Here is a 9903-nt window from a genome sequence, read left to right as displayed (position 1 = left end):
TTTATATGTGTATGTCTAGATCTATATCTCTACATCTCCATCGCTGTCTCTGTCTAGAGATAGAGATATCGACAATGAGAGAGAGAGGGAGGTAAGAGATAGAGATGATGGAGATAGATGAGCTAGCGATAGAGACATATCCACAGAGGAAAACCTACCACTACTTTAAGAGAGAAATCTTTTTCCCAAGAATCAAATCCTTAAAGGAACAAACACTGTAACCGACTATATCCTCAATAATTGTTTTAAAACAAACGCAGCAGCATTTCATATGGCATTTTTTTCCTTCTTGGTATGAGTCAAGGACAAAACAAAGTCAAGGACATAACAAAAATGTGTGAGTAAAGGTTATTTTGAATGGTTGGGCAGAGTGGAGACAGGGCTGGGACTGAGCTAATGACATCCAGGTTTGCCGCTCTCCAAGCGTGTTGCACAATGCCAACGCAGAACTGAGAATCCCTAGGATGGACGGAAGAGCTTCAGCTAAGACTTACCTCCTTACCTGTTCCCTCTGCCTCCATTATGAACATACGGCACATGCGCGCGTGCACACACACACACACACACAAACTGCTGCTAGGATATTAATGTGCAGTTTGTTAGACGAGATTCCCCTTCCTTCTCGTCCTCTGATCTGGTGCTTTTCCTTCTCCCCCATCTTTTGTCTTTCCTGATCTAACAAGGCTGTGGATCATATGCTGATCCCATCACAGACCAGCCCTCCGTTAGGTTCAGTCCTCAGCTCTGACACACAGGCCTGCTGGAGAAACCCTCCAAGCGTTGGTGGATCTTGCACCTTCTGTGTGCCTGCTGTCTAACTACTGATGATGTGGTCACTGCCTGATGGGGAACTGCATCAGCTCTGTGAATTCTTGCAATCTATTGCCTGGGAAAGTGTCTTGCACATTAAACAGGTAGCCCATAAATGGATGAACGGGGGTGGGGGCAGAAGGGTGGAGGTTGGAGGGATTCATCTAATAAGGGAAACAAGCAGAACAGCCTACAAAGGCTTAAGAACGCAGAGTCCTGCTCTGCAGCCCAAGCCCCTCCGTGGGATGAAGTGCCATCAGATATTTGGTGCCATGGAGAGTTGATGAAGAAAGCCTTCCAAAAACAATGAAATTGTTTTTTAATTTATTTTAACTTTTAGAGACGAGATCTCACTATGTTGCCCAGGCTGGTTTCGAACTCCTGGGCTCAAGAGATCTTCCCACCCTGGCCTCGAAAAGTGCTGGCATCACAGGCATGAGCCACCACACGTGGCCAAGAGCAAAAGTTTTAAAGCAGGACACTATGGCCTGATGGACAGGAGAGACTAGGGTCCCTCCTCCCTCCCAGGGGCCTGGCTTCATCTCAGAAAAACCGAGTCCCTCTTGCTCCACACCCGCATCCTTAGCTTCAGCCCTGGCAGTTGTGTTGAGCAGATGCTAAGGAGATGGGGACATTTTACCCCCTCCGCAGCCGCCCCAGAGGGTCTCAAACCCAGGGCTGATTTAGGGTTGCCCTGACATGGCCAACCCTATTCTATGTCCAAGTGTCATTCATGGCTAAAGCAGGCCAGGGCCCCAAGGCAACCAAGCTCCTCTCTCCTCTGCCCGCTCCCACACACCCTCCTCTGCCCCAGTGTTCCTATCATTACGTCCTGGGCATTGAAACCCGGGCCATTCTTGGACCAGGGCTGTGGGCTGAATGAGGGCAGGAAGAACAGGGTCAATGGGAAAGGACAGCCCAGAAAAGAGAATTCACCACCACCTGTGGTCTCCCACTGCTTTGGTAGGAACCTTGTAAACACAGCAGCAGCCCCCAGGAAAGTCTTGGAAGAAGGGAGAAGCTGATCAGATTTAGAGACTGAGACATCTGGGCCTCCAACCCAAGGCTCCCCGGGCCCTAAAAAGCCAGACTCCCGTCTCCTTAGCCCTTTCCCTCACCGACCAGCAGGTGGCACCACAAACAGGGATTTCAAAACCAAAACTAAATTAAAGTGGAAACTCAGATCTTTTGTTTATGCAAATAGTTCATTCCCTCCAACATTCCTCCGGGAATGGTCCCCCCTCCACTCCACAGAAAACCCTCCCCTCCCTGCTGTGCATGACGCGGGCTCCCTCTGCACACAGTGCACGAAGACGCTGTCGGGAGAGCCCAGGATTCAACACGGGCCTTGAGAAATGTGAGTAAGGGTGATGGGCAACCAGGTGGGAGGGAGAAGCCAGGGGAGAAGCCAGGGCATGGGAGGCAATTCAGGGAGACAGGAACACCCTTCTCTCTTCACACACCTCATCAGTTCCACTGTGCACACGCGTGGACACACACAACACACGCCCCATCCCTCCTCCTAGGGATCAGAGGAGACTTCATACATAGATGCTCATGCCATGGTCCTTTCTTCCCTCTGGGCTCTTGGCAGGGAGCAGCGAGAGGAGGGGACCCCTTGCCCAGGACGGGACACTCTGTGCCTGTGTCCCCCACTCCACAGATGGTTTCTCCCAGACGCTCTTGCTGAACCTGTGGGAGCCCTTTCAGAGACCCACGGGTGGAAACCCTCACCCTCCATTAACTGGTCCCAAGCCAGTCCTATTCCTGGAAGGGGAGGGGAGGGACGCGTCCGGGCAGGGGAGGAGGCTGGAAAGGGAGTGTGAGGGGAGTGTGGTGGCCTCTGGACTGGACACTGCCCTGGAGAGTGACCCGATGCAGCAGCTGCACAGGCCATCCTCCCCACCCACGCACCCCTGCTGAGAACATGTCTGTGAGGTTCAGGGTGGGCAGAGAGGAGAATGCCCAGTGGTATGGCCGTCTCATCCCCTGCCACAGCCACTGCCCACATGGCAAGAGTGCTGAACCCCTCCAGCTCCAGATACTCTCTTTTGTTTTGGCAGGTGGCTCTTGTACCTCCTGGTGCCGGCCCTGTTCTGCAGGGCAGGAGGCTCCATTCCCATCCCTCAGAAGTTATTTGGGGAGGTGACTTCCCCTCTGTTCCCCAAGCCTTACCCCAACAACTTTGAAACAACCACTGTGATCACAGTCCCCACGGGATACAGGGTGAAGCTCGTCTTCCAGCAGTTTGACCTGGAGCCTTCTGAAGGCTGCTTCTATGATTATGTCAAGGTAGGGGCAGGATGGGCGGGCAGAGGGGAGACAAAACTGGGCCCTCTGGGATCTGGGATCTGTATGGCATGCACACCCCCAGACACAGCCCAGCCCCACAAGAGCTGATGGCCAACGGCCTCTCTGAGAGCCCGGGGATGCCCTGGATGGGCGCTCACTGGTGTAGAGGCCCTCGGTGAGCACTGAGGGGAGAAGCACAGAGAAGGAAGGGGACAGGACCCACTCAGGAAATTCAACATCCACTGAGTCAGGAAAACCTTCCCCATCTGCTGTCTAGCTGAGAGTCTTTGGGAAACCACTGTGCCTCAGCTTCCCTGTCTCCAAGGAAATGATTGACATGGCTGCCTGCTTCAACAGGAACACAGGGACATGAGGAGGAGAAATGTGGGCTCTGGCAGCACAGGAATAGCCTTCAGCAAGGACAGTGTGCTCAGAACCCTCACCTCTGTGGCAACCAAGGGTACCTTCCCAGGCCTGTCTTTCTCTATCCAGTAAAAATGAGATTCAGGGCTCAAGCAGAGCCTGCGAAGGTCCAACAACTACCATTCCCAGGAGACCCCTGGAGATTATGCGTGAATTACATGACAATGGCACGTCTTACCGGCTCAGAAGACTTGGCGAGTGTGCAGTGTTGGGGGAGGGCGTTTGCTGGCAGAGTCAAGGAGAGGTTGAGGAGGCTGTGAGGAGGAAGGAAGAGGGACGAGGCAGTGCCTGCTGACACTGAGATGGGTGGGCTTCAGGGCTCATGTTCCGCCGAGGGCATCAGGAGGCACTCGAGGTGTGAATGGTTTGATTAGGCTGAGGTGGAATCTGAAGACAGAAAATAAAGCGGAGCTGTCTGAGCTCTGGGAATGAGGGGCAGGTAAAGGCTGGGTACAGACAACCAGGACCCCAGGGGAACAGGCCATAGGAGGTGGTGGGGATGGAGAAGGACCTGAAACCTGCCAGAGGAGCAGAAAACAGGGAAAGGGTGAGGTACCCAGTCCAGGACAACACGCAAAGAGTGAGTCAGTGGGAGACTCAGGGAACAGCTGAAAGTCACATGGGGAAGTTTGCAGCAGCTGAGCCCAGCAGGTAGTGACCAGCCAGAGCCATTGTGGTGCATGATGCACTCTGGGCGAGACAAGGAGGACCATCACTGAGCCACCACGTGCGCCACTCCGCAACAGATCTTCTTCCTACCCCCTGTCCTTCTTCCACCAGATCTCTGCTGATAAGAAAAGCCTGGGGAGGTTCTGTGGGCAACTGGGTTCTCCACTGGGCAACCCCCCGGGAAAGAAGGAATTTATGTCCCAAGGGAACAAGATGCTGCTGACCTTCCACACAGACTTCTCCAACGAGGAGAATGGGACCATCATGTTCTACAAGGGCTTCCTGGCCTACTACCAAGCTGTGGGTGAGTAGCCCCCCAGGGATCCCTTTTCTCTGACCTCAGCCATATTGAATGGGGGGCCAAGAAAGGGAATCTTGAATGCAAAGAAGCCGAAAGCCTGGCTTTCCTTGTTCCTCCCCTCGAGAGAGCTTTTCCTAACGAGGCCTGTCAACCTGGGCTCTGTCCCCATGGAGCAGTCCCCAGAGAGCATTGGAGAGGCCTGGAGGTCCAGGTGGCCTAAAGATGCCTTTGTCTTTAGGTCTCTGGTGAGTGACCTCCCTAAGATCAGAGCCACTACTCAGGTCTCCCAGCAGAAGCTTAACCCTCCTTCCTGAATGCCTTCCAGACCTTGATGAATGTGCTTCCCGGAGCAAATCAGGGGAGGAGGATCCCCAGCCCCAGTGCCAGCACCTGTGTCACAACTACGTTGGAGGCTACTTCTGTTCCTGCCGTCCAGGCTATGAGCTTCAGGAAGACAGGCATTCCTGCCAGGGTGAGCCAGAGTGGTGTAGCAGAGGGGAAGGGGTTGAGCCAGGGCTTGCTGGGCCAGCTGGAGTCCCCCGTAATGCCCTGTGGCTCTGCTCTCACAGCTGAGTGCAGCAGCGAGCTGTACACGGAGGCATCAGGCTACATCTCCAGCCTGGAGTACCCTCGGTCCTACCCCCCTGACCTGCGCTGCAACTACAGCATCCGGGTGGAGCGGGGCCTCACCCTGCACCTCAAGTTCCTGGAGCCTTTTGATATTGATGACCACCAGCAAGTACACTGCCCCTATGACCAGCTACAGGTACAGCCGTCCTACCCCTGAAAGACCCCTTCCTCCCCTTCTGTCTGCACTTGGCTCCTCTTGTCCCAACTTCCTCCTGGATCCCCTGGCCAGCTGGGGCAGGAACGGCCAACATCACCCATGGGCTGGGTAAGTTCCCACACAACTAGAATTGGGTCATGGGGATCCCTTTTCACCTTCCCCTGAAAACACACATAAGGCAGGATTTCATCACCACCACCACCACCCTGGCCACCAGGCTACTACCCAGTTGGCCCTGTGTAAAAACGTCCAAGCTGAAAAAAAAAAACCCTCCTCCCCTACTAGATCTATGCCAACGGGAAGAACATTGGCGAGTTCTGTGGGAAGCAAAGGCCCCCCGACCTCGACACCAGCAGCAATGCTGTGGATCTGCTGTTCTTCACAGATGAGTCGGGGGACAGCCGGGGCTGGAAGCTGCGCTACACCACCGAGAGTAAGGCTCCCTGCAGGCCTCCCTCGATGGCCAGCAATGGGGAAAAGGGGGGAAGAAGGAAGGACAAGTGGCTCTGAAATAAATATGCCCCCTGGTCTCCCCAACAGTCATCAAGTGCCCCCAGCCCAAGACCCTAGACGAGTTCACCATCATCCAGAACCTGCAGCCTCAGTACCAGTTCCGTGACTACTTCATTGCTACCTGCAAGCAAGGCTACCAGCTCATAGAGGTAAGAGCCCAGGGCTGAGGGGAGAGAGCCGGCCCAGCACCCCAGGAGGAATTCAGGTGGTGGGTTCACAGAGGATTTAGTCTCACCCCAGCTGGAGTCGTAGACGTTTCAGCTGGAAGAGTCTCCTGGTCCACCAGCTCTCAAACTTGCTGCACACTTAAAACAGAGAGTTTAAAATCCTGGAAGATTGCTTGAGCCCATTCATTCAAGGCCCCTGTGAATAGCCACTGCACTCCAGCCTGAGCAATATAGCAAGACTCTGTCTCTGAAAAATAAAAATAAGCAAATAAATACTGAAGATGAGGGCCCCCAACAGAGACTCTGATTCCATTGATCTAGAGTAGAGCCTGAACATCAAGACTATTTAAAGCTACCCAGGTGATTCTAATGCACAGCCAAGTTTAAGAACTATTGCCCTAGTCCAATAACTCAAGAGAGCTGAAGGAACTGAAAAGGCAGGGTGGAGATGTAGTGACTCGTCAACATCACGTAGCGATTGTGTACGGCAGGGACTAGGACGCCAATCTCCTGCCTCCTGCTCCGGGGCTCTTTTACACATGTTGGTGGTCTCCCCCTGCGCCCACCGTCCTGTCCTCGGCTCTGCAGATTCAGGAGGGAATATGGTTTTATCCATTGATCAATCTCACAAAAGCTGGTAAACTAAAAATCTCTGTCTCTGGACAGAGACCCAAGACTGGACATCCCATCGTTGTTCAACAGGTCCACATGGAACACTTAATCAGAATCAAAGAAGAGACCTAGGATATGTCCTTAAGTCACAGTTAATTCATTTAATGCACACTTTAAGTGTCTACTGTCAGGCACTGTCCTAGATGTGGGAGGTTCAGTAAAAAGAAACCCACATAGTCACACAGCCTTTGTGGAGCTCACATTTGAATGTTGCATCAAGTCGAGTTCACCTGATGCATTGTTCTTTACTCCAAGGTGCTTCCAGCTCCATCAGGAGGATTGGGTGGGTGTCCTGGGTCCAGAAGAATGGAGACTACCAACCTCTTTGCTCCTATTACAACCCTCCCTTGCCTGCACCACCCACTGCCCTTACTTTTGCATTTGTTATTCACATCATAGAATTTAAAGCAAGTCACACGGTTTCTCACATTACCTACATTTTACTCAGACGTTCTAGTTCTCATACACATTCTCTTACAACCTTTTCCAGGGCTAACTCCATGGAATGATTTTTGGTCTTTTTGTTTTGTCTTGTTTTGTTTTTGAGAGAGAGTCTTGCTCTGTCACCCAGGCAGTGGCATGGTCTCAGCTCACTGTAAACTCCGCCTCCCAAGTTCAAGTGTTTCTCCTGGATTCAAGCTATTCAAGTGCCTCAGCCACCCGAGTTGCTGGAATTACAGGCGTGCGCCACCATGCCCAGCTAATTTTTGTATTTTTAGTAGAGACAGGGTTTCTCCATGTTGCCCAGGCTGGTCTCGAACTCCTGGCCTCAAGTGATCCGCCCACCTCAGCCCCCCAAAGTGCTGGGGTTACCGGCGTGAGCCACTGCACCTGGCCGAATTTTGGTCTTAGTAAAACTTATTCATTTGTCCAGTAACTTTTCATTTCAAAGACTGCCATTTCCTAGTCTTGTCCCTGCTCAATAGCAACAGCACTTCACATACATCAACGTCTCCAGCACCTTTCAAAGCTGCGAGGTGGCTCTAGTATTTTAGGGAAGGCCTCTGTCCTTAGGAAAACTGCAACCCAGGAGAGATAAAGTGATGCACGCCTGGAGGCAGGGGACACCAGCAAGAGAAACACAGTTCTGCCCTGGAGCACAGGCTTTTGTTTTGATACAGAAAACACTCAAACGTGGCTTGTGATTTTTTCAAATTACAAATTGTGGGATTCAACTGGACCTCAGTAGGAACAGGCCACAGTCTAGAGAGAGGATGATCAGGTCTATCAGTTAGCTCTGCTCTGACTTGCTGTGGTGTGGCTCAATGCTCCTGTCTGTAATGGGCTGGGGAGAAGGAAGAAGGAGCCACATCCATGGGGGAGCCACATCCATGGGGGAGCCACATCCATGGGGGAGCCAAGAGATGTCTTGGTATTGCCTCCCACTCCTGTGTGGAAAGGGCAGGAAGGGGACCTCCATTGCCTCTTGGCACTGATGGCACCTCTATCCTCTGCTCAACAGGGGAACCAGGTGCTGCATTCCTTCACAGCTGTCTGCCAGGATGATGGCACGTGGCATCGTGCCATGCCCAGATGCAAGAGTAAGTCACAATTCAGGGATATGACCCTGGGGACCTCCCACCTCCTGCCTTGAGGACCTGGGCCAAGAAAGAAAGAGGGGTCCAGACTAAGCCTCTTTCCAAGAGACCCTCACCCTGACTTGTCCTTTGATGCCTATGGGCCATCTCAGGAATCAGTGAGCCCTCATCTCAGTGGGATGGATGGGCTCTACCCAGAATTGAATTTCATACCACCCAACTCCTGTCCATTGCAAGGGCCCTCCCCACTGACTATCTTTTCTAAGCTTCTGAGCCTGCTCTGCAGGTAGACAACTCACACTCCCCTCACTGAAGTTCCAGCACAGTCATTCTCAGCTCTCACCCTGCCCTGTGTTCTCTCCAAGTCAAGGACTGTGGGCAGCCCCGAAACCTGCCTAATGGTGACTTCCGTTACACCACCACAATGGGAGTGAACACCTACAAGGCCCGTATCCAGTACTACTGCCATGAGCCATATTACAAGATGCAGACCAGAGCTGGCAGCAGGGAGTCTGAGCAAGGTAGGGACCAATGCGAATGGAAATTTCCTCCCTTCCATCCCCTTGGGGTATCCTCTGAGATTTCTCCCAGTAGAATCCCTAGGGAATGCATATTAAGGTATCTGCCAGGGCACTGGCTTCAGGGGCCTAAATTATAGTGCTAACAGGAACCTAGTAGGTTTGAAGAAGGAGGCATCTGAGCTGATGCAAAGAAAAGATTCAAATCGCATAAACAGCTCACTGTCACCACATCATCCCCACTACCACCATTGCCTCCACCACACCCCCATTGCTACCATCACTGCCATCACCACCACTACCAGTAACAACACCAGCAACACTACCAATAGCATCAGTGCCAGCACAATCACCACCATCACCGCCATCACCACAATCAACACTGTTACCATTACCAACACCACCATCACCACTACCATTATCACCACCATTACCAACACCACTATCACCACCACCATTACTAACACCGATGCCACCATCACCACCACCAACACCATCATCACCACCATCACCATTACCAACATCATCATCACCACCAACACTAACACCACCATCACCACCATCACCACTATCATTACCAACACCACTGTCAACACTACCATGATCACCACCACCATTACCAACACCACCATCACCACTACCATTATCACCACCAGCATTACCAACACCACTATCACCACCACCATTACTGACACCAACACCACCATCACCACCAACACCATCATCACCACCATCACCATTACTAACATCATCATCACCACCACACTAACACCACCATCACCACCATCACCACTATCATTACCAACACCACTGTCAACAATACCATGATCACCACCACCATTACCAACACCACCATCACCACCACCATCACCACCAACACCATCATCAGCACCATCACCATTACCAACATCATCATCACCACCACACTAACACCACTTCCATCATCACTATACTGTTACCAACACCACTGTCACCACTACCATGATCACTACCACCATTACCAACACCATCACCACCACTATTACCAACACCATTACCAACACCACTATCACCACTCTCATTATCACCATCATGATTACCAACACCAACACTACCATCACCACCATCACCATTACCAACACCATCACCACCACCAACACCATCGTCACCACCACACTAAAACCTCCATCACCACCATCACCACTATCACCATTACCAACACCATCACCACTAC

General features: G+C 52.1%; 1 protein-coding gene across 2 annotated transcripts in view, besides 1 other annotated feature; it reads left to right on the top strand.

The window, feature by feature from the left end:
- Positions 1767 to 2061: an enhancer, noted in NCBI's record as "tiled region #13442; HepG2 Activating non-DNase unmatched - State 4:PromP". NCBI's record gives its function as "activates a minimal TATA promoter and a strong SV40 promoter by Sharpr-MPRA in HepG2 cells {active_cell/tissue: HepG2}" and the evidence as "EXISTENCE:reporter gene assay evidence [ECO:0000049][PMID:27701403]".
- Positions 2109 to 9903, top strand: part of C1R (complement C1r) — a 12227-nt gene continuing 4432 nt past the window's right edge. Inside the window, exons 1-9 of one of the 2 annotated variants that reach the window (NM_001733.7) lie at positions 2109 to 2167; positions 2874 to 3102; positions 4306 to 4498; positions 4821 to 4967; positions 5065 to 5261; positions 5568 to 5715; positions 5823 to 5944; positions 8097 to 8175; positions 8538 to 8693. In NM_001733.7, the coding sequence (NP_001724.4) occupies positions 2166 to 2167; positions 2874 to 3102; positions 4306 to 4498; positions 4821 to 4967; positions 5065 to 5261; positions 5568 to 5715; positions 5823 to 5944; positions 8097 to 8175; positions 8538 to 8693 (1273 nt within the window). In that variant the 5' untranslated portion in view covers positions 2109 to 2165. Of the gene's footprint in view, positions 2168 to 2660; positions 2782 to 2873; positions 3103 to 4305; positions 4499 to 4820; positions 4968 to 5064; positions 5262 to 5567; positions 5716 to 5822; positions 5945 to 8096; positions 8176 to 8537; positions 8694 to 9903 lie in introns of those variants that run through there. The other variant, NM_001354346.2, reaches the window with a different exon arrangement.

Source organism: Homo sapiens, chromosome 12, assembly GCF_000001405.40.
Source record: "Homo sapiens chromosome 12, GRCh38.p14 Primary Assembly".
NCBI lineage: Eukaryota > Metazoa > Chordata > Mammalia > Primates > Hominidae > Homo > Homo sapiens.
The sequence above is the reverse complement of the archived record's forward strand: the minus strand, read 5'-3'. Positions and strand labels throughout refer to the sequence as shown.